Consider the following 24,961-nt stretch of genomic DNA (forward strand, 5'->3'; position numbering starts at 1 on the left):
CCTCATTCGCCCTAGGACATTTGGTCATTGTCTTAGTCTAGACATCAAAATTAAAATCTCTTATGAGCTCATATTCTGGGGAAGTTGGGTCAGGCTGTGTCCGGGCCAAAATTCCTCTGCCTCCGGCCCAGCTGCTGCTACAGCAGAGCTGAAGCTTGTTGGAAGGGAAACTAGGGATGCGGGACGGAGCCTGGAGGGAGAGCCAGAAAGCTGGGCTCTGCTTCTCAATGTGTGATCTTGGAGAGTCACTTTTTGTCTCTGGGCCAAAGATGAAATGAACTTGCCTTTTCCTGCCTTGGGGCCTTTGCACAGGCTGTTCCCTCTGTCTGAAGCTCTCACCACCTCCCTTCCTCTTCACCTGGTTAACTCTTGCTCAGCTATCACATCTCAGCCTAAAATACAGGGTCACTGTGCTCAAGGAAACTTGAAGACCTGCTGCCTTCAGCGCAGACAGCTTCCTTTAATTGTGTCGAGAGACTGTCTCCTTGCTAGGCTCAGAGCTCCACAAGAGTGAGAATCTGTCTGTTTACCTCTCTGTGACTCAATTAAGGCTTGCTGAAGGAACGAGTGAGGTGCATCAATCTGCTCCACGAGAGCCTACAGCTCCCTGGCACTTGGCAGGAGCTGCAAGAGGGCCCCCCTCGTCTCTTTTCTGCTCCCTCTTCCTGCTTGCTGGCGGGTTGGAAATCCTTGGCAAGGATTAAGTGTGTCCTGAGTGACTTGGCCCTTTGCTGCCTCCTGGCGTCCACTTCCAAGATAGCCGTCCCCAGATGCTTCTCCCACTCGTGGAGGAAAACTGAGTGTGGCTTCCATGTGCTGTGATCTCGTTCATTTCCAACAGTAGCCTTGTGAGAGAGGAATGATCATCCCCTGTTTGACAAATGAAGAAGGTCCACATTTGTTCATTTGTTTGTGGAATAATGACTGAGCACCTATTATTTGCCAGACACTTTGTTGGGAGCTGGTGCTTCGCTGATGAACGGCAACGCGCTGCCTCATGGAGCTTACGTTCAGGTCTGCAATAGGGAAGGCAGATAGTAAACAAGTGAACAAACGTTTTGTGTGGGCCGGGCGCGGTGGCTCATGCCTGTAATCCCAGCACTTTGGGAGGCTGAGGCGGGCAGATCACTTGAGGTTAGAAGTTCGAGACAAGCCTGGCCAACGTGGTGAAACCCCATCTCTACTAAAAATACAAAAATCAGCCAGGTGTGGTGGCGCACACCTGTAGTCCTAGCTACTCGGGAGGTTGAGGCAGGAGAATTGCTTGAACCTGGGAAGTGGAGGTTGCAGTGAGCCAAGATCGCACCACTGCACTCCAGCCTGGGCGACAGAGCAAGACGCCGTCTCAAACAAAACAAAACAAAATCCATTGTGTGTGTGTGTGCACAAGCACACTCAAGATGCCAGGGGACAGTGGCTGGGCTTTGGTGGTCCAGATGTTAACTGACTTGTACAAGATCACAGAGATGCAGCTAGATTTGAACCTGGTAGTAACAATTGTAGCTAATAACTCTATAAGCCCTTGCTCTGCCATGTGCTGCTGAACTCAGCGCTTTTTACATATATGCTACAACAGCCCTACTATTATCCTTGTTTTGCACATGGGGAAATAAAGCACAGAGAGGCTAGGTAGCTTGCCCAAGGTCACTCAGCTGCTCAGTGGTGGAGCTAGGACTCAATCCAGGCAATGTGGTTCCAGAGCCTGCCCTTTAACACTGTAAGACAAAATTTAGAAGTTTTGACATCCAGGGCCTTGGGGATGGTGGCCACAAACCCAGTGTGCTACTCTCCTCCCAGCCCAGCCAAGTAGACCATCCTGGACAGTCTCCTGCCCTCAGATCTTCCAAGATGACTGTATAGCCTCCTGTCCCATGAGTTGGAAAGGATGGGGAGGAGAGGGTGCTGTGGAGGGCCCCTATCCTCAGGAATCCTGATGGGCTAGCCGTGGGGACAGAACCAACCCACACTGGGCTGTGAGGTGGGAGGCTTCCCCTCCAAGAAGGCAGGAAAGGCTTCTTGGAGGAGGTGAGGGGTGAGGTGGGCCTGGAAGGTTGAGTGGGATTCAGACGTACAATTCAGTGGGAGCAGAAGAAGCCAAGGGAACGGCAGGGGCGGGGGAGAGGGTGGCGCCAAGGCTTGGAAGGAGGAAAAATGAGGCTGCATCAGGACCCGAAGCTTCCGGGCTTCTTCCCCAGGCTGGGGAGCTGTTGCAGGCATCCAGGTGAGAGGGGAGGGGCAGCCAGGGGGCGGAGATGAAACCAAAGGTGGCCAGGACCCAGGTGGGCTTCAGAATCACGTGCCCCCACCCCCAACTTTAATTTCTCCAGCTCCCCCCTCATTCACCCACCCCTTGCTGCTGCTTGATTGCCCCAAACACAGCACTGCCCCAGGAGTGCCTAGACCCTCCCCGTCCACATCCGCCTGCCTTGAGCCCTCACTTCCTTCCTGTCTCTGCTGAAAGGTCACTTCATACAGAGGTCTTCCCTGACCACCAGCAATACTGTATTGCTGGTGGTTACAACACCTTCCACACGCTGTACATTTCCCTGTGCTTGGCTTAGCGCACAGGTGGCTTAGCGCTTGGCAGGCCTTCCACGCATAGTTTTTGGCTGTGGGCAGCTGCTTGGCCGAGTCCTGAACAATCTTCAGCTGCAGCTTTATGTCCGTCATCTTGGCTTCCTCGGAAGCTCAGTCATCTGTCATCCCTGAGACAGACCGTTGGAAGGCTCGGGATGGGGGAGCCAACAATGCAGACACATACGCATGCACATGTTGTGCACACAGACACACACACACATATCTACACATGGGCATGAATCATATGCACACACATATGCCCATACACATACAAAGCCATGCACACATACATATGCACAACACATACACAAATGCTCACACGCATGAGCACAACACACGTGTGCACACAAGGCATGCATATCTGTATATAGGTGTGCACATGTGAGCACACCCATGTGAGCAAATATACATGTGTATACCATGCCCACATATGTATACATGCACATGTACACATTGCACACACACACACACACACACACACAATACATATATAGGCATCATATGCGTACACCACGACATGCATGGACATACGTATACTTACACATGTGCCCACATACATGCACGTACATGCATTTCTGACACCTTGACTCTCACCTTCTCCATTCATCAGAGTGGTGACCACGTTGTCCCAGGATCTGGCACAGAGACTGGCTCAGCTATCTACGGCCACAGCCAGATCACCAGAGCTCTGGGGTTGTAGCTAGGTGACGCCACCGATCCTCTGCTACCACCTTGTGGCCACTTCCCAAATGGCACCAGTCAGTGGCTGAAGCCTTTCCCTGGTTCTTGTCCCAGCTAAGCTACCGGGCCCAATCCACAGGGCTCCTGGGAAACGTGTAGTCATCCCTGAGCCTTGTGCCCCACCCTAGGACAAGTGGATGGCTTTGCTAGGTGCTGTGGGTAATGAGTGGGGCCTGGAGTAGGATGCAGGCCTGACCTCTCCACTGCTCCGTTAATCCTCTCTGTCCCACTCTGCTGCACCCAATACCTCCAGGACTTCTCAGGGCTGACTCCTGTGCCTGGAGCGCCCCACTCCCCAGTGCCCCACTGCCCAGCGAGCTCCTTGAGGGCAGAGCCCTGACTGTGCTCATCTCCAGTACAGACGGATGCTCCATGAATGTGGGAGGGAGGAAGGGAGGGAGGAAAGGAGAGAGGAAGGGAAAGAAGGAGGGGGTGAGAGAGTGAGAGAGGATTTCCTCACTGGACTTCCTCAGTTTGAGCTCTGAAAGTCCCATGTCCCAGGAAACCCCTCAGGCCTGAGCAATCTCTCCCGTTGGTCATCCTCCTACAGCTAATGCTGGTAGGAAGTGGTGGGGGCAGGGTGGGGCACTGAGAGAATTCAATAAAACAAAGTGTGGAGGGGGCCTGCCTGGATTGGTGGTGAAGGTGCGCCTGGAAATGAGAATTAATGAACTCCATTGTTTGTGCCTAAGCTGTGAGCCGTACACAAGCCACAGTATCTGCACAATCTTACCAGGGAAAAGTCTCCTGAGGATGTAGAGGCAGAAAAAAAGCCTGGGCCATGACCCATGCTTTGCTCCCAAGGTTACTGCTTCCCTCTCTGCTCCCCCCAAATCATCCCCCTTAAATAAACACGGAGAGTCTAATGCCAGCCCTCTACGTGCCTGGAGAACGGACCAATGTGAGAACTATGCTTCAGACTAGGAGCAAAATCTTTTTCCATCAAGAGACGTGGGCTGTGCCAAAAATAGAGCTTCAAGACCCTATTAGGGGGTAGTTCTCAAACTTGATATGGCATTAAAATAAGAGAGGGCTTCTGGGCAGACCCACCAGAGGTTGTGACTCAGCACATTTCAGGATGGGCTTCAGGATTCAGGTGGTTCTCATGCAGGGGTTAAAGGAGAAACTCTTCAATGATACTTGTTAAAAGCATGGTAACAAAGACTTTAGTTAGGACTCTTGATGTAGGTATAGGGACCATTGCAACAGGGAGACAGATTGGACTCAACTCTAAGACAGCATGGGCAGGTGGGACTTACAGCTGAGGGGCAGGGTGGGGTCAGTGGATGGAAAATTACCAAGAGGAAACCTTCAGGGTGAGGGGGATTCTGGCTAAACCTATTTAACAGGATTCTGGGGATTGTCATTGAAGGCAGGCCAGGGAGATCAGACATCTGCTGGGGGATGGTGGTGGATGAGGAACCTGATCAGATATGGAGGATGATCAGATGTCAAGGACGGGGGTTTCTGGTTACACTGACTTAGCAGGGTTCTTTTTCTAAAACTGGACTTCATAAGGAAGTGCACAGATGGGCCTAAGAGAAGGTTCAGGAGTCTGACTAAAGTTTGGCCAAGCCAAGAATCCTTGTCACAGGTGACTCCAGTACCATAAATAGAGGAACTCTTCCGTAGGGATGGGTTTAGAAAGATGGCATCACACTGATCTGAGTCACCTTGAAGGGGCACGTGACCAGGGCATCAGTTCTGAGCCCCTTGGTGTTATGGCTTTCCCCAGGCTGGTGCCAAGGGAAGAACTGGGAGGTGGAGGCAGCCATACCCTGAACACATGTGCCAGCAGGGATAGGCACATTGTACCCTATGCCTAAGAGAAACAGAATTAGCAAACCGCTGGCCCTGCAGGGGATTAAAGGAAAGATGGTGTTTATCTGCTTATGTTATGTGACTATTTGTTTTTACCAATTTAAATGGATGTCACTGAAGCTCTGGGGTCTCCTACCATAAGGAGGAGGCTGAGTGGGGAGGAGGGGCAGCCTCTTTAGATGTCATGCCTGCATTTGCCAGGGTCTTGGAGGTAACCGACATGGGGTAACTGAGACAGAAGCCCGAAGTGCTTTCACAAGGAACTTCTGCCCAACCTTGGTCCAACGTGCATGGCAACCTCACTCAAAATACAGAGACGCAGACGATGGAGGTAGGAGGAAGTAACAGAAGAGCAGAGTTTTACTACATGGAAATTTGCTAGCAATTGGAAATTTGACCGCTATTTGCAAACGTCAACTTCCCCTCCCACTGAAGGGCTGAAGAAGCTCACCAGTCAGTGAAGAGAGAGCTGATCCATCATCTGGCCTCATGTGCAGATGAGTTAGGAAGGAAAAAACCAACATCGATGCTATGGATGAAACAATTGTAGCACAAGGGAAACGGTGGGTGAGCAAACCTCCAAAATGACCCACCACAGGTCATTTCAGCCATCCTCAGTAGAGCACAAGAAGGCAGAAAGCCTGCAAAAAGCAACAAGATGAGATGGAAAAGGAGGTAGGTGGGAGAGACAAGGACAGGTTGCAAGGAAACCAGAAAAGCACAATGACCACCCTGGTGGTAGTCACAGCAGACCTAACTGATGCCTCAGATCATTGAATTGGTGATTTGGAGGAAGAGTACAGAGGAAAAAAAATACATTAAAATGATGATTGATAATAGGATCGTTTTGAAGAAATAGGGAAGAAAGAAGAGATGACCAGTGAATGAAAAATGGTGTTCATTAATGAGAGTTCAGAACAAGAGAAACAAACATTGTAGTCAAAGAGGCAATACCAAGAAACTCTTCTGAGCTGAAAAAGGAACTGTGTGTGCAGATCAGAAGGACTCCCTACGTTCCAGGCAATGTGGTGGCAAAATTTTCAAATTAGAAAGCAAAAGGAAAAGTCCTAAAAATTATCCAGGCAGAAAAGGCAGCTATATACAAAGGATGTGGGGAGGAAGGGATGGAGAGCAATCCTAAATGGCCAACTGATAGGGGCAAACATGCATATCGGGCTTACTACGTCCAGGCATAAACTAAGTGCTGTGCACACATTCGCTCATTGTATCCTCCACATAACCCTATGAGATAGGTGCAGTTATCATCATCTCTGCTAACAGATCAAGCTGAGACACAGAGAAGTTAAGTAATCCGCCCAATGTCACACAGCAGATGGCGGAGCTGTTATTTGGCCATAGGCAGCCTAGGACTTTCATCTGTGCTTTTCCAAACTACTTCACTCCACAGCCATTATCAGACCACGGCAAAGCGTCTAAGAAGTTTGAAAATGTTGTAAAGCAAGAATTCTAGACCTAGCCAACTTGTCATTTAAGTAAGAAAGCAAGATAAATTTATTCTCAGATATGCAACAGCTCAGAAAATATACTACCTCTGTACCTCTTTTTTAAAAAATTACTGGAAGAAGTACTCCAAACTATTGAGGGATGAAACAAAATTAAGAGCACAGGCATGAAGAAATCATGATATAAAAAGAACTGGCGGATGGGCGCGGTAGCTCATGCCTGTAATCCCAGCACTTTGGGAGGCCGAGGAAGGCGGATCACCTGAGGTTGGGAGTTTGAGACCAGCCTGACCAACATGGAGCAACCCCATCTCTATTAAAAATACAAAAAAATTAGCCTGGCTTGGTGACACATGCCTGTAATCCCTGCTACTCAGGAGGCTGAGGCAGGAGAATCGCTTGAACCCGTGGGCGCAAGTTTCAGTGAGCTGAGATCCCACCATTGCACTCCAGCCTGGGCAACAAGAGCAAAACTCCATATCAAAAAAAACAAAAACAAAAACAAAACAACAACAACAAAAGAACTAGCAACAACACTAATTTTAGTTAAAACAGACAGAATTTTAAATTATTATAAATCTGGCCATAACAGAATACAAAAAGTCCAAATGTATAATTATAAGGGCAGTTATATGACAAAAGGCCAATAATGTAACAATTATAACCTGGATCCCAAAACCTCAGATGATATCAACAAAGTTCAAGAAGAAAAGAAGGGAGACAAACTAACTTCTCATCTCAAATGGGGGAAAGTGCACAACATCGTAACAACTAGAGAATGCCACTGAAATGCTTACAGGTCTTCATTAGTCACATAACGCCAGCATATATTTTTTCTAAAACATTAGTGAACATAAAATTGAAGTAAACAAGATCTGTTTAGTTTTCTAAAAAGTGCAAAGCAGACAGGCAACCCCACACCCACACAGAGAGGTGTGCAGTTTGCCATGTACGTTGATTGATGTAGGATGGCAGAACTGTCCCCCGGGGGCACTGCCACAGCAACCTTCTCCTGCCTCCTTCTCCTGCCCCCCCAGGACTTGACCTCCCAAAAGTGCTGCATTGTTGCCAATGCCAATGTTCTCATTCTTCAACTTTTTTTTTTTTAAAGACAGTGTCTTGCTCCGTTGCCCAGGCTGGAGTGCAGTGGCACGATCTTGGCTCACTGCAACCTCCGCCTCCCAGGTTCAAGCCATTCTTCTGCCTCAGCCTCCTAAGTAGCTGGGACTACAGGCGTGCACCACCACGCCCGGCTAATTTGTGTATTTTCAGTAGAGATGGGGTTTTGCCATGTTGGCCAGGATAGTCTCGAACTCTTGACCTCAGGTGACCCACCCGCCTCGGCCTCCCAAAGTGCTGGGATTACAGGCATGAGCCACTGCACCCGGGCTCATTCTTTAATTTTTGTGCACCTTTTGAAGGTTAGAGAAGGACAGTGTCCTGGCTGGCATGGCCCTGATGCCAGTGTCCTGGCTGGCATGGGCCCTGGGTTGGGGAATGGGGAGTGGGAGAGTTGTGAAGAATCTTCCTATTTTTTTTCTTATCCAGATGGTGCTTGGCATTAGGAACCTATAAAGTCCAAACTGAATCATGTGACTCCTTTCTTAAAGCAATTGACTGACTCCCTTTTGCCCTCGTGTTAGAGTCTGAATCCCTTCCATGTTCTCCAGAGTTCCTTCCAATCTCATCATACCTCCCGCTCCAACCTCAGTTTCCATGCTGCCTTTGACATTTATGCAGCTTCCCAAATGCTCCACGTTCTCCACTGACCTTTTTGCCTTTGCACAAGCTGCTCCCTTGGGCTGCAGTGGCCTTTCCCTCTGACCCCATCCCCACCTGGAAAACACTAATAAGATAAGGTGCAGGTGCGTGTCTCCCATGAACCCTTCTCTGATGTCTGCTGACTGGAGGAAGTCCCCTCCTGTCTCCCATCCTGTGCCACATTCTCCCTCTGGTCATTCACTACACATTTCCTGAATCTTATTTAGTTTCAGGGATGTTTAAAACCCTGGTAGCTTGGGTTTATTTCGCTGGCAGCTTAAGCCAGCCCAAAGCCATAAACTGCACTGGAAAGGACAGGTCTTCTTCACCGTGTCTCCAGGCTCAATAGCAGGTACCCCATAAACGCTTATGGAACTCAACAAAGGTGCCCTCGCTACCGTCACCAGCCTGCACCATGCCTCACTAGCAGGTAGCAGTACAGCGAGTGTCACTTGAAGGCTGAATCCCAACAGTTGGTGGTGCTGGGGTTCTGGGAGAGGCAGTTGGAAGGGAGCATGGCCTCCCACAGGGCAGCTCCAGAATGTTCTGGCCATATGACCGAGGTCTTCCAGCGCTGGCCTGTCCCTGCCTTGTCCCAGGACCACAGATCCTGCATAGTTTAATTTTGCTAAGAACATTTTAGATTCTAGGAAAGCATTTGAGGGTAAGGGAAAGGGAGGGGTGTTATCCCGGCACCAGGTAAAAGTACACAGGGGAGATGAGTAGGAAACTCTGACTGAACCTTGAAGGGCTGGGTTTACAAAATGCAAGGGCAGAACTAACACTATACAACTGGACATTCACCAGACTGTCCTTTTTCGTTTAGCATTAAAAAAACAAAAAAACCACAATGTTGCCTAAGTTGCTTTGAGAAATCTGAAAAGATCTATGCATAATCTATCTTTCCAACCACGACTCAGTGTCCCCTCTGCTTGTGGGAACTGAATGTAAAAATAATCACCAGCTTCAGGGCCTGAAAAGCCACCTCGATGGGGAGGAGGCAGGGCACAGAGGGGGCAGTGCCAGTCTTGAAAGGTAAGGTGGGCAGAAATTAGCATCCCAAACTGCCCACCACAGAAGTGGCATCCAACCGGGTTAAAAAAAGCTATTCCCAAACAGGCTCCTTCTGACGGCCTTGGAACTGATGTGCAGGCAGCCAAGTGTGTGTATTTGTGGAGTTGTAAGTAGGTCAGATATTTCTGTCGCTAATTATTACTTGCGAAAAAATATGTCGTGAGCTTGCCGCAGGGAGAGAGTATCGAAAGCAGCATTGATCTTTGGAATCTCTAGCCAGATTTATCCGTGCAGGGTTGGAATCCCAAGGACTACCAAAACAGGAAAAAAAAAATGGCCTCAATCCAGGTCTACAGGGGGCAGCTGTGGGAACTCCAGCAGGAAGGTGAGAAACCTGGGTTCCAGCCCTTGATTTTTACTTTCCTGTTCCGGGCTTCAGTTTTCCCACTAGGTTGGATTTTATGTTCTGATTTCACGAACTCCGCAGTCAACGGTGATTTTCTCAGGACCTGGGATTTCCCTTCTGTTTTAGGGATATGGGTCATTTCCTTTCTGGGAGGTATAGGCAAGAAATTCGTTCAGAAATGAGATCAAAATTTTCCGGCATTGATTATTAGGTGGGAAATTTCGCTGCACCTGGATCAGACTCACATATCTAAATATTTGCTGAGTGTTGAATATGTGTTGGACATTGTGGCAGGCATGCTGGACATACTAGAGCATATGACTCTACTCACTCCTTTGTATATATAGGGTTGGTGGCCCCTTACTGAATTTCAGTGAGTGACATGGTTTTCTCAAGGTTGCACACATAGGAAGCAGAAATGCTGAGATTAGAGCCCAGCCTGACTCCAAGTCAGTACTGTCCTTGGCTCTTTCTCTCCCTGACCAGCCCCAATAGCTGTACTCAAGTGGGCAGTAGAGAGGACAAAGATGACCCTTCCCCTCCTCTTAGATGCAAAGTCTGGATACTAGGGCAAGACACTACTCTAATTAGTTTTATTTTTACAGGCTCTGAGGCTTGTCAATGCTTTATGCAAAGTTATGCAGAATATGCAAATCAGGAGTGGCTCTGGTTGTGTTGTAACCAGGAGGGCACCTGCAATTCTCTGATCTGAAAAATTCCACCTGCAGAGCTTCCTGAGTGGGAAGTGTTGGGCTCCTGTCTGCAATGTCACGCCTCTTGAAAGTCCCTTCTGAGTAGTGCCCAGGAACTGGAATGTAAATGCCCCTGCCATATGGAGAGTATTAGCCCCAGAGACCTTGGCAGGGATGAATTCATTGGATATGAAGGTTTTTTGTTTTTGTTTTTAAAGCAGGTGGGCCTCAGTTTCCTCACCTTTATAATGAGTGAGTTGGTCTCTATGAGCTTCAAGGATCTGTGATCACCCTAAGTGTTTAGATCCCTGTATGGAGGTTTCTGGAAAGTACCATCCTCTCTCTTTTTCTTCAGCACTTTCTTATGATGCCCCCTGCCCCTCTCCAGCATTCACTCCCACTGCCCCATGTTTGTGCTTCCCCCCATGAAGTATTTGGCCTTCTGGAAGCTTCCATGCCTTTCTTACCTCCTATGCTTTGCACATGCTGTTTCTGCTCCTGGAATGCCTTTCCCTTCCTTCTCCATCTGTCTAACTCCCACTCTCCCTCCAAGCGTCAGCTCGGACATCGCCTTCTCCTGCCCGTTCCCCAGTCTAGGCCAGGTACCCTTCGTCCCCAGCCTCCTGGGTAGCACTCAGCAGCTGGTCGTTGTCCGCCTTCCCCAGCAGGCAGTGGGCTCACTGGGAACAGACACCTGTTGGTCTTCCCTGTAGACCCCCAAGCATGTGGGCCCAGGATTGTCACCAATCAACTGTCACTGGTCAACCTTTAAGGAATTAACAAATAAAAGAGTAAATGCACCCACTCCCTTTAATTTAGAATTGTCAATAAATAAATAAATAAATAAATAAAATAGGCCAGGCACGGTGTTGGCACCTGTAATCCCAGGGCTTTGGGAAGCCAAGGCAGGAGGATTGCTCGAGGCCAGGACTTTGAGACCTGCCTGAGCAACACAGTAAGATCCCATCTCAACAACAACAACAAAAGAATTGTCCAAAGGAAGCAGTTGCGTTAAGCTCCCACCCAGCTTGTGACTTTAGACTAAAAATAGGCATAGGGACACCAGGCTCCTCTAACTCCCTAATATGAATTTTAATTTTTAATAACTCGAGAAATCAGTGAACTATACCTATGGGAAAATGATGAGGAATCGGCCACATAAATTAATGGAAAGTATGTGTTCACATTATCTAACTGTATTAAGTGTGAATAATAATTAATTATAGATTCTACATGAGGTCTTGTCTTGGAGAGTTCTTTAACCCAATGTGAAGAAATTTAAAAAGTCATTCATCACTCTCCTGTGCTCCACCCCAGGCCATAACATAAAAAGCAATAGCTAAAGAATTTTCTATAATTTATTAAGATTATCATCTTAGAGGAAAAATAACTCTTTAGAGCATAACAACTTAGAAATGGAAGCTGCACCCAAACGTGTTTGTTAATGCTGGTGTAATCATCCAGGCCACCTCCCCGTTCTCCCCTGCATTTATTCATTCTTTCACTCAGTCACTGTACACCCTGTGAATGTGGTATGGAGAGGTGGTATAGCAAGCGGATATGAACATGAACTCCAGGGCCAGACTGTCTGGGGTCAAATCCAAGCTCATCTACTTTCCAGCTGTGTGGTGTTAGGCAATTTGCTAAACCTCTCTGTGTCCAAGTTTCCATTCTATAAAATAGAGAGAATAATAGGACCCATCTCATAGAGCTGGGATGGGAGCTTAATAAGCCAATACATGTGATGTGCTTGACCTAGAGCTGAAACTAATTCTAGGTGTGGCCCTGCTGGTGTGCTGGGCAGTAAGACAAAATGACTTTCTGCCCTTAGAGAGTTTGCTGATTGGTGAGGAAAACAGACCATAAATAAGCAGCTGCATTTTAAATTACAAAGTGTGTGTTGCATACGCAAGAGAGTACAGGACTACGATAGGGAATGATGAGGGCATTTTATATAAGGCAAGCAGGTCCAGCTTCTCTCGGGAGGGGACGTTCAGATCAAGGACTGAAGATAAGAAGGAGCTGGTTAAGTGAAGAGTTGGGGGAAGAAGATTCCAGGTCTTGGCTTATGTGTGGTACCCTGCTACCTTGGGTTGCCCTTTCCCTGTTTAGATTTTTTTTTTTTTTTGAGACGGAGTCTTGCTCTGTCACCCAGGCTGGAGTGCAGTGGCTCGATCTCGGCTCACTGCAAGCTCTGCCTCCCAGGTTCATGCCATTCTCCTGCTTCAGCCTCCCGAGTAGCTGGGACTACAGGCGCCCGCCACCAAGCCCGACTCATTTTTTTGTATTTTTAGTACAGATGGGGTTTCACTGTGTTAGCCAGGATGGTCTTGATCTCCTGACCTCGTGATCCGCCCGCCTCGGCCTCCCAAAGTGCTGGGATTACAGGTGTGAGCCACTGCACCAGGACTTTTTTTTTTTTTTTTGACAGAGTTTCACTCTTGTTGCCCATGCTGGAGTGCAGTGCAATGGCACGATCTCGGTTCACCACAACCTCTGCCCCCCAGGTTCAGGAAATTCTCCTGCCTCAGCCTCCTGAGTAGCTGAGATTACAGGCATGCCCCACCATGCCTGGCTAATTTTGTATTTTTAGTAGAGACGGGGTTTCTCTGTGTTGGTCAGGCTGGTCTCGAACTCCTGACCTCAGGTGATCCGGCTGCCTCGGCCTCCCAAAGTGTTGGGATTACAGGCGTGAGCCACCGCCACCGACCATCTTTCTGTTTTTATCAGACTCAGCTACAGAGAGCAAAGGTACTCATCTCCCAGCCCCTGGCACATTCTCACTGTTGAACTGCACACAACCTTTTTTGTGGGTTTGGGTTTTTTTTTTTTTAACCTTTTTCTCATTTATCCCTGATTCCCACCACCATTCTGTTTCCCCCATGGGCATTTTCCCTCATGTATTTGATATATGTTCTTAAATATGCATGAATCCTTATAAAACATGTTGTGCTATTCTGTGTATATCTGCTTTTAATTAACATGACTAATTCCGTGCCGTAGCTCTCAGTCTGGTTTTTTTTTTTCTTTCCTCTCTTAGCACCGAAGTATATTCAATGGTCTGTAATAGTTGCTTATAACCATGCACAATGTTTTTCCATGGTGAGAATTCACCACATTTTTCTCATGCATTTCTTCAGCAATGGACACCCTGGTGGTCTCAAAGTCCCTGATCCTCCAAACTACACTGCTGGAGTAGCCTCAAGGGGCGGCAGGGCTTCTTTTTGTACCATAAGATGCGAGACGCAGGGTGTGAGAGGAGATGTCTCTGAGATAGACATCCAGGAGAGGTCACGCTGGGTTGTGAATAAATATTTAATGTCCTTAACTGCCAGGGCCCTATAGCCCAAATGGCACCTCCATGAAAACTAGAAAAAGCACAAAAACCAAAACAACAACACTAACAAAAAACCCCAGAAACACAACAAAATTGAAACAAACACAAAAGCCCTGCCTGCCCTTTGAGGCTCAGCTCACCGCTGTCTCCTAAGGGGCCGGATACCATTTCTTTTCTACTCTGAATGCCCCTGGCACATGGTCCCCTTTGCCTGGGAAACAGTGAGCTACTTGAAGGCAGAAAATCATATATTTGTCTCTTTCTTGCTTTCTCTCTCTCTTTCTCCTTCCTTCCTTCCTTCCTTCTTTCTTTCTTTTCTCTCTTTCTTTCCTCCCTCCCTCCCTCCCTCTCTCCCTCTCTCTCTCTCTCTCTCTTTCTCTTTCCTTCCTTCCTTCCTTCCTTCCTTCCTTCCTTCCTTCCTTCCTTCCTTCCTTCCTTCCTTCCTTCCTTCCTTCTCTCTCTCTCTCTCTCTCTTTCTTTCTTTCTTTCTTTCTCAGAGTCTTGCTCTGTTGCCCAGGCTGGACTGCAGTGGCGCAATCTCAGCTTACTGCAGCCTCCACCTCCTGCGTTCAAGTGATTCTCCTGCCTCAGCCTCCTGAGTCGCTGGGACTACAGGTGCGCACCATCATGCCTGGCTGATTTTTGTATTTTCATTAGAGATGGGGTTTCACCATGTTGGCCAGGATGGTCTCGATCTCCTGACCTTGTGATCCCCCTGCCTCAGCCTCCCAAAGTGTCGGGATTACAGGCGTGAGCCACCGCCTCCGGCCTATTTGTTGTCTTTCTACCAATTGCAATAGCAGGCCCTCATAAAAGCTTGCTGGACTGATTTTCTATTTCCTGACACTTCAGAGCAGCATGACCTCACCACATATTGATAAGCATGCCCACTACAGAAAAGGGGAAAATGATGGATTTGAGAATCAAGAATTGTAAGATTCTGGTCTCCTTGCTGTCACCAACCTGAAGGGTAACCATCAGCAAACAACTTTTCCTCTCCGGGTCTGAGTTTCCCAGTGGCAGCTCCTCTGTGACAGAGATAGGCTAGTTTCCCCCAAACCACTTCCCTTTTCCTCTTGGGCTTACATGTAGCCTGCATTACCCAGCCTCCTTGCAGTGAGGTGCAGGCCTGTCTTCAGGTTCTGGTCAATAGAATGTGGATGGAGGTGACATACTCTGCTTCCAGGCCTGATTTGTGAAAACCTCCTCATGCGAATCTCCACATTCTTACATCATCTGCTGGCCAGATGCAGAAAATCCCACAGCACCGCAAGCTAGAAGGAGCTTGGATCCCGAGTCACCCCCTGGAGGAGAGCCATCCAGGAGAGCTTTATAACCAGAAACACCCTTGGGGGATGGTTGTATGAGCAAAACTAAACTTTTATGGTGTTTTGCCTTTGAAAATTTTGAGGTTGGTTGTTACACTAGGTGCCCTCCTGATTAATCTATTTCCCTCAAGCCAGATTTCACCCAATAATTCCTTAATTTGTGTCATGCTTCTCCACTTTTCACAATTGATGTTTTGTGGCCCAGTTCTTTTATTCTACTCAAAAGTAGCTGAATAATCTGAAATAGCAATTGAGTATCCAAAAGGAGCCAATCTCAATGCTGGAGTTGCCCTGCATCCGCTCCCTACAATCCATCACTATCATGGAACCAAAAGGATCTCTCTGGAACCAAAAGGAAAAGGCAATTCCTCCAAAATACTTTCATGGTCTTCTGTTATCCTCAGAATGAAGCCAAAGGGCTCATGCCTACAAGGGCTACCAAAACTGGCTTTGTCTATTTCTTCTACTTCCTCTCCTCTGTTGAGTCCACGGTTCAGCTGCAAAAGCATTTCCTCTAACATGCCAGTCTCAGTGCCCAACACGGTAAGGACTAGGCCTTCAGGGTAACGCTGCACGCACCGCTAGCTGAGCCCAGGAGGCTCTTCCATCCCCTCCTCCTTATCTTGGGGGTGTGGCTTACAAGTCACTTTTCCTTAGGGGGTCTGGGCCCCCTGATCACTCGCTCTGGTCCACGCTCTTGCCCCACTGATGTGCTTACCACTCACAACATTCACTGCAGTTGTAATTACTTGTCCCCTGAACTGTCAGTGTCCTGAAGGAAGGACCAAGCCAGTCTTGCTTCTTGCTGAATCCCCACACCTGGCCCAGACCCTGGCTTGTTGTCCATGCTCTTAAGTATAGTCATGTGTCGCTTAACAAATGGGGATGCGTTCTGAGAAATGCGTCATTAGGTGATTTTGTGCAAATGTCATAAAAGTGTACTCACACAAACCTAGATGGTAGAGGCTGCCACACACCTAGGCTACATGGTCTAGCCTGTGGGTCCTAGGCTACTAACCTGCACTTGCGGCACTGTACTGAAGACTGTAGGTGACTGTAACACAATGGTAAGTATTTGTGTGTCTAAACATAGAAAATGGACGGTAAAAATGCAGTATTATCATCTGATGGGACCACCAACTTATATGCGGTCTGTCATCGACTGAAACGTCCTATGGCACATGACTGTAGTTGCTGAACAGGGGCATCAATAAATGACCCAATCCTGAGGGAACGAGTGGTTTGATTCCTGGGGAAGGGGTCGTATCCTGTGTCATCCTGGGGGGACAAATGGATTTCTTGGAAGGCATAGTGCCTCTCAAAGGAACAAAAAGGCCATCCTTGGATGCACTAGGTCCCCATGGGTGAGAGCGTTCGGTCCAGGGCTTCCCAGAGTGAATCTACAAAGCCAACACGCTCAGCGCCCACAGAGAGAGATCCCATACTGGTCACCAGTTTGGGCCACTGAGTTCTGGATCTCCCTCTGAACCCAAGACTTAATAACACACAAAAATAAAGCTGAAGGCCCAGGCAGGAAGGCGTGATGAGCGTTCACAGGGCGGACAGGCTGGGCATGGAGATCCTCTCCCACAACGGGCACACTTTCAGATGCACAAACTCATCTCCAGGCAATTGTTTTCTCCGTGAGTTCCCTTGAAGCAGCCATTTGCGTCTCTTGATCCCACACGCCGATGACCTTGTTAGGTCTTGTTAGATAGATGGAAGACTGTACTTGTGCCCTTTCTCTCTCTCTGGCTAATTACAATTTGCAAGTTGAGGTCCTTCAGGTGAATTAAAACAAGACACTTGACGATTAACTTAAATAACAAATAATGTCAGCTTGGCCATCTGCCGATGGCTGGCCCCCATCCTGACCACAGGTGCCATCAGCAAGAGGATCTGTTCTCTCAGCCCAGCAAGATCGTAAAAGCCCAGGCCAAGAGACCCCGGGACCCCGGAACACCAGTGCCCGGCACAGTAAGGACTCAGCCTTCATGGTAACGCTGCAGTCTCAGGTTGGTGACAGCTGCTCTGCCAGGCCCTTGTGGCCAAAATTTCAGGCCTGCCAGTTTATAAATTTTGTCCTTTTTCACCCAGTATTAAGAAAGCCTGTGTTCCTTGACCTATCACTGCTGTTGTGTCCACGGTTGGTATAAATATTGCCTTCCAATTACACAGAATTTTGAATTTTTGCTCAAAGCATTCGTTTGGTTACTTCACTCTCTTGTCTTTCCAAATCGTCCCTTTTCCCTCATCTGAGATTTCGTCTGGGCCACTCCCCAGGAGAGCAGGAGTGAGATGTGCTCAAACTCCTTTCCAGGACTTGTTACAGATCTGACGTGGGTGGATGGATGGGGCTGGGCCAGGCTAGACCTAGTAAAGGTCAGAGGCTATTGCTGCTGGAAGAGCTTTATTTATGGGCAGGAAGACTGAGGTCCCCAGGAGAGGAGTAGCACAGGGCTGCATGAGGGTAGAGCTGGGTTTGGGCTCACAGTGGCTACCTCCTGCACCAGGGCTCTATGCAGCATCCCAGCCACCCCAGCCACCCGCTCGGGCAGGAAGAGATGGCCAGGCCCCTTCCTGAGTGATCTAAGTTCTGAGCTTTGCAAAGACCCTCCTGGTAGGATCTCAATCTGGAGCAACGAACTGGAAGCCTAGGCCAGACCCCTTGCCATCCTATCGGTCTCCTTGGCTCCATGCCTGCAGTGGCCTCAACTGGCCCATGCCAGCTTGAGCTTCTGGCGAAGTGGGTCTGTTGTTGCTGGTTTCTGTTTGCCTAGCCCTCCTTCCCCTGATCACAGCAGCCCTTAACTTTTTTTCTTTTCTTTCTTTCTTTTTTTTTTTTTTTTTTTTTTGAGACGGAGTCTTGCTCTTTCACCCAGGCTAGAGTGCAGTGGCGTGATCTCGGCTCACTGCAACCTCCACCTCCCAGGTTCAAGTGATTCTCCTGCCTCACCCTCCTGAGTAGCTGGGACTACAGGTGCCCGCCACCACCCCCGGCTAATTTTTTTGTATTTTTAGTAGAGACGGGGTTTCACCGTGTTAGCCAGGATGGTCTCGATCTCCTGACCTCGTGATCTGCCTATCTCAGCCTCCCAAGGTGCTGGGATTACAGGTGTGAGCCACCTCACCCAGCCAGGTCAGGAGTTTTGAGCAGGCATGGTCTGTACTAAAATACAAAAATTTGCCGAGCATGGTGGCAGGTGCCTGTAGTCTCAGCTACTTGGGAGGCTGAAGCACGAGACTTGCTCGAACCTGGGAGGCAGAGGTTACAGTGAGCTGAGATCATGCCACTGCACTCCAGCCTGGGCAACAGAGTGAGACTCCATCTCAAAATAAATAAATAAATAAGTAAAATGTAGCCAAGTTTTGAAAACCACTGCTTCTTCCCCTGCCTCAGGGATGGGCCTGTGAACCAAAGTGGGTCCATCAGAGTCCTTCCCTGGGGGAATTTGCTATAGACAGAAGATGGTCCCCTTTAAAGGCTGTGAGGGGACTTATGTTAGCCAGCAGCACTCAGCCCCGCAGTCAGCCCCTGAGAGGCTGCTCCTGTCCTCAACCCTCTTCCCCGCTGTTCTGGGTCATGTGGAGCCCCCAGAATCACTGAGCTGCTTTCTGGACGTGCATCTTTGCATATGGTATTTCTTTCTCTTACCAGCGCTTCTTTCTCATGAAGTCTTACTTAACCTCAGAGATTCAATGGGCATTGCGTATTCTGGGAGAGCATCCTTGCTCCCACCCTGCCGTGGGCTGGGCTTGGGGCTACTCATCTGGACTCATGCTTGTGTGTTCTTCTCTGAGGGACTCAGCGCTGCCTTGTAATCATCTGTCTGCACACCTGTGCTCCCGCAGGCTGCGGGCTTCCCTAAGGCAGAGTCTGTGCCCTGTTCTGATGTATCCTCCTATGTTTAGCTTGCAATCTTTGCTTCGTGAATGAGTCATTTTTTAGCTCCCAGGAGCACTGGGGGGATCACCTAGCAACAGGGGCAGGAGCAGGAGCTCATCTGCTTCTCAGTGCTCCCAAGAGAGAGGGAGAAAATGAGAGTGGAGAGAGAGTGTGTGTGTCACAAAACAGCGGAGAGAGAGAGAAATGTCGTCCTTTTTAACTAAACTCTCTGTTCCTTCCCTCACTGGACAGACATTTTCTGTGCTCCTTCCTACTCTGAACCAGACAGAGAAAGTTTCTCAGAGATGAGCTATGCAGGAGACAATTAAAATAAAACTATCAGGCCGGGTGTGGTGGCTCACAGCTGTAATCCCAGCACTTTGTGGGGCCAAGGTGAGTCGATCACCTGAGGCCAGGAGTTCGAAATGAGCCTGGCCAACATGGTGAAACCCATCTCTACTAAAAATACAAAAAAAATTAGCTGGGCATAGTGGTGGGGGCCTGTAATCCCAGCTACTTGGGAGGCTGAGGCTGGAGAATTGCTTGAACCTGGGAGGCAGAGGTTGCAATGAGCCAAGATTGCACCATTGCACTCCAGCCTGGGCAACAAGAGTGAAAACTCTGTCTCAAAGATAAGATAATAAAATAAAACAAAACAAAACAAAACAAAACAAAACTGTCAGTCACCTGGACTTTCAGAAGACATAGTGGGCTATTCGCAAAGCGAGATTTTTCTGGTGAGTATCTCAATTACTCACTCTCTGGGTCATGGCCAGGCACTGCTTCCTCAGCACGAGGCACCACCAAAGACCTGAGAAATAGGATCCCTGGAGTAGTCTTCCGACCCCTTGGAGGCCTCTACGAGAATACCTGTTACTTTTCTCACCTGGGAATATTCCAACATGTGTAGCCCTCATACTGCAAACACCATAGCATTGCTTCTGAGTTTTCTCTGTGCGACCCCAAACCAATGTGGTCCCTCTGTCTGTGGGCTAAAGAGCAATCAGAAGAGCCATGAAAAATGACATTTTCTTAAACCTTGTGTTTTGTGAAAACTACATGTTATAGAGCTACCCCCCAACAAAAGGAACTGATGAACAGGAATACACAAAGGGGCTGTTTTGGTTAAGATCATAAATCCAACTCAAAACTAGCTTAAGCAAGCAAGGTAATTTATTGATTGTATCAGAAATGTGTTTGGCTACGAACAAAAACTCTGACTACGGTTGGCATAAATAAAGGTTTTCTTTGTCTCACATAATGTTCAGAGGTAGAGCCAGGCGTGGTGGCTCACACCTATAATCCCAGCACTTTGGGCGGCCGGGGTGGGTGGATCACTTGAGGTCAGGAGTTTGAGACCAGCCTGATGAACATGGTGAAACCCCATCTCTACTAAAAATACAAACATTAGCCAGGTGTGGTGTCCCGTTCTTGTAATCCCAGCTACTCAGGAGGCTGAGGCTGGAGAATTGTTTGAACCCAGGAGCGGAGGCTGCAGTGAGCCTAGATTGTGCCACCACACTCCAGCCTGGGCTACAAAGTAAGACTCTGTCTCAAAAAAAAAAAAAAGTTCAGAGGCAGGCAGTCCGGGGCAGGAGAGAACGCTCAGCAACCCCTCCTCTCTTTCTGCCCCATTGTCCCCAGCCTGGTCTGTTGAGGTTGTGAGGCAGCTGCAAATTCCTAGCCCTTACTCATAGGAAGGAAAAGAACAAAAATAGAAAAATGGAAGGAGGTCCACAGCCAGTTCTGATGACGTTTCTATATCAGTGATCTGTTTCTGCGTGACTAATCATCCCCAAACCTAACAGCTAAAAACCACCACACATTGTCGCTGATGAGTCTATGGGTTGGCTCGGAAGTTTTGCTGATTTGAGGCTGGCTTGGCTGATCTCAGCTGGGCTCGGTCATGTGTCTGTGAAAGACTGGTCTTCCACTGGGACCGTCCGATCTAGGATGGCCCTCTCACGTGGCTGGTGTTGGCGAGTTGTCAGCTGCTGGGATGTCTCCCTTCCACCAGCAGGCTAGCCTGGGATTGCTCACATGGTGACTGGGCTGGGGTTCAACAGAGGGAGCAGACATATCCAAAAGCTCTTGAGACCTAGGCTCAGGCCTGGCACAGTGTCACTCCTCCCACCTTCTATTGCCCCAAAGTCGTGAGGTCAGCTGAGATTAAAGGTGGAGAAATAGGCTGGGCATGGTGGCTCATGCCTGTAATCCTAGCCCTCTGGGAGGCCGAGGCAGGCAGATCATTTGAGGTCAGGAGTTTGAGACCAGCCTGGCCAACAAGGTGAAACCTCGTCTCTACTAAAAGTACAAAAATTAGCTGCGCGTGGTGGCACGTATCTGTAATCCCAGCTACTTGGGAGGCTGAGGCAGGAGAATCACTTGAACCTGGGAAGAAGAAGTTGCAGTGAGCCAAGATCGTGCCACTGCACTCCAGCCCAGGCAACAGAGTGAGACTCTGTCTCAAAAAAAAAAAAAAAAAAGGTGGAGAAATAGACTCTACCTCTCTCTGGGAGGAGCCACAAAGGCACCACGCACTGGGTGGTGTGGATAGGTGTGAAAGTGGAGTGTGGTGGCCAAGTGACACAGTTTGGCTGTGCTGGTTCACAAGGGCACCCTTAGCTTCATCAGGGCTTGGAAAACTGAGCTGTGAGCAGTTTCTGCCTCTATAAGAGAAGCCAGAGGAAAGGGGATCAGAAATGAAGCTGGGGCAGCCGGTCGCCAGCCTGCTACAGTCACCGACCTGGGAGATGGGTGGAACTAGCTGACAGCAGGGGCTCAAACAGGGTCATCTGGGCATCTCCCTCCATCGCTTGGCTCTGCTCAGCTCTGTGCTGTAAAGTGTCAGCTGAGTGAGTCACCAGCAGCCCCGACCTACCTTCTCCTGGCGCCACAAATCCAGAGGAAAGAGGATTTCTTTTTCCCTATTTCCCACCATTGATTGCAGGGAAACCTCTGACTGCTTTTGCCTGGTCAGGCGTCTTTTCCCTAAAAACATCTGTGGAGTCAAGGGCAATGGGTGCCGTAATGTCCAGCCTGGATCATCCGCTGTCCCCTCTGGCTCCTGGGGGGGCAGGTGGAGGTGGGGATCATGACAGACACTCTGCCAAGGCCGGATAGACAGCTGGAGTTGCCCAAAGGGACCAGAACAAGTGAGAGAGGAGAATGCTGGGCACACAAAGCCCACGGCCCTCAGCCCCTGCAGGGGCCACGTAGATGGACAGCTGGGAGTGGTGCTTTTGAAGAGTAGCCTTGGGAGAGAGGGAGGAGTGAAAGCTGGCATGTGGGAGCTGGTTGGTGTTTCACAATGTCCCATGTGCTCTGATGTGAGCTGGGTTGTGGCTGAAATCCTGCATCCTGGGGAAGGGCTGGAGAGCCCTCCTGGAGGGCCCGGGTGCCCCTTGTTTGAGGCACCTACCCTTCCGTCTTCAGAACCACAAAAGCACTTAAGCGTGGGTGTCAAAAACCGTGAATGCCCCGAGAGAGGAGCTGACACCATTTCCACTGCAGCACAGCTGTGTGCCCTGTGAGCGTGTCCAGACCCCAGACCTGCTGCATGGGCTTGAAGCGCCACAGACAGGCACCTGGTACAGAAGGTCGGACAGAGTGGAGAGTTCCAGTCAGCGAGTTCCTCGGAGGGCTGCATTTCAGGGATGCCTAGGGCTGCTCTGAGAAATAGAAAAAGGTTCTGTGATAGAAGTTTGGGGAACGCTGGGTTGAAGAAAGTTCACTTATTCATTCATCCAACAGATATTGATTATTTATTACATACCAGTGTTCTAAGGGCTGTGAGCACGCAAGGGAATAAAATAGACAAAAATCCTTGCTTGGGTTTTACAGTCTAGTAAGAAGATTGAAGAGTTTTCTCTTCTGCAGGACTTCTCAGGGCCTTTAATATACAAATGGGCATCACCAAAAGGGGGTAAGGCAGGCTGTGTTTCCTAGAGTTATTGAACCCCAGAAACTCTTGTTGTGAGGGGGCACTTATAGAATTGTTGTTTTATGAAATAGATTTTGAGAAACACTAACATCATCCAACCTCTTGTACAGATGGGGAAATTAAGACCATAGTCAACGTCGTTGGGCAGAACTGGCACTGGAGCCAATGTCTCCTGACTCATGGCACCGGGCTCTTGCACATCCTTTCCCTTTGATTCCCACCCTCCCTCCCTTCTTTTTCCTTCCTTCCTTCCTCTCCTCCTCCTCCTTCTTTTTCTTCTTTCCTTCTCCTCCTTCTTCTTTCTTTCCCTCCCTTCCTTCCTCCCTCCCTTCCTTCCTTCCTCTTTCTTTTTCTTTCTTTCTCTCTCTTTCTGTCTCTCTCTCTCCTTCCTTCCTTCCTTCTCTCTCTTCCTTCCCTTCTTTCTTTCTCTTTCCTTCCTTCCCTCTCTTCCTCCCTCCCTCCTTTTCTTTCTTTCTTTCTTCTTTCTCTTTCTTTCTCTTTTCTTACTTTTCCTTCCTTCCTTTCTTTTTCTTTTTCTTTCTTTCTTTCTCTCCCTTCCTTCCTTTCTCTTTCTCTCCTTCCTTTCTGTCTCTCCTTCCTTTCCCTCCCTTCCTTCCTTTCTTTTTTCTTTCTTTCTTTCTCTCTCTCTCCTTCCTTCCTTCCTTCCTCTCTTCCTTCCTTCCTCCGTTTCCCTTCCCCTTCCCCTTCCCTTCCTTTCTTCATTCTTTCCCTGCCTTTAAGATATGGGAGGCTATAATGAACCTTGATGCCTGAGATAACACCTGAAAGCTCCCATGCTGGCCATGGGCCACCTGGGCTGGCATCCTGCTGAGACACCACACCTTTGACCACATAAACCATGTTCTGTGACCTCTCCCCATGCCCATCCCTGCTGACATGAACAGCCGGGCCCATACCTTGGGAAAGGAGGCAAACTGGAACATGGGAAGCAAAGTGAGACTGTGAGGGAAAAAGCTAGTTTACAAAAGTCCAGCTGACATCTTGGTGCTTGGGGAAGTTGTCTGCTTTCTTGATTAGACGTATGAAGGGGGTTCTTTTCCTCTGTGGACATCCTTGAGTGCTCTCATGTCCCTCAGTTCATTCCTCAGTTCACAGTATGGGGACTATGTTTGGTGTCTGGAATCTGCAAAGAGCTTGCAATCTCCAGGTGTGTTGCTCATGCAGTGGCCAGGCCAGCGGGAGAGGTGTTAAAGCACAGAGCAGGAGACTGGAGGATAAAGGAGGTGAAATCACCTACACGATGTCATCAGTTGGTGACATCACTTGGTGGAGCTAGGACTTGAAATCCAGGTCTCACTGTCCCCTCCCCCAATACCCAAGTTCTTCACTAAGGAGTGAATTGTCTTTAGGGGACTAGAAGCTCTTGATCAGTCAAGTAAGAACAAAGATTCCAGTTCCAAGAACCTCAGAAGGTTTGGGGGGCTATCAAATAAAATACCGTTTGTGACAGAATGTTGACAGCAGTCAAATGATGAGGGATGGTGTTCGCAGTAAAGCCACAGGTTCTATTCTAGGTGCTTTTCAAACATCACATTTTGCTGATAAGAAAACCGAGGCTCAGGGAGGTGAAGCCACTTACCCAGAGCCACTCACCTGGCAAAGGACCCTGGCCAGGGTCAGACTGAGACCTCCTTGGTCTGTGTTGAGAGCCGCGTTCTTTCTACTGCCACTCATGGCCTGCCCCACAGCACAGGACAGTCAAGTTGTGAGCAACTGCTATTCTTTAAAATAGTCTGGCCGGGCGCAGTGGATCACGCCTGTAATCCTAGCACTTTGGGAGGCCGAGGTGGGTGGATCACAAGGTCAGGAGATTGAGACCATCCTGGCTAACACAGTGAAACCCCGATTCTACTAAAAATACAAAAAAAAAAAAAAAAAAAATTAGCCAGGCGTGGTGGTGGTGCCTGTAGTCCCAGCTACTCGGGAGGCTGAGGCAGGAAAGAATGGCGTGAACCAGGGAGGTGGAGCTTG

The 24,961-nt window shown here is 48.8% G+C and overlaps 1 long non-coding RNA gene across 1 annotated transcript in view, besides 1 other annotated feature; it reads left to right on the forward strand.

Moving 5' to 3' along the window:
* LOC105376223 (uncharacterized) overlaps nucleotides 1-24,961 on the forward strand; it is a 38,343-nt gene that overhangs the window by 6,972 nt on the left and 6,410 nt on the right. The gene's annotated exons all lie outside the window — the stretch shown is intronic.
* Nucleotides 3,294-3,373: a silencer, noted in NCBI's record as "silent region_20207". NCBI's record gives its function as "represses an Ori minimal core promoter by ATAC-STARR-seq in GM12878 lymphoblastoid cells {active_cell/tissue: GM12878}" and the evidence as "EXISTENCE:reporter gene assay evidence [ECO:0000049][PMID:35858748]".

This window comes from Homo sapiens, chromosome 9, assembly GCF_000001405.40.
Source record: "Homo sapiens chromosome 9, GRCh38.p14 Primary Assembly".
NCBI classification, from domain to species: domain Eukaryota; kingdom Metazoa; phylum Chordata; class Mammalia; order Primates; family Hominidae; genus Homo; species Homo sapiens.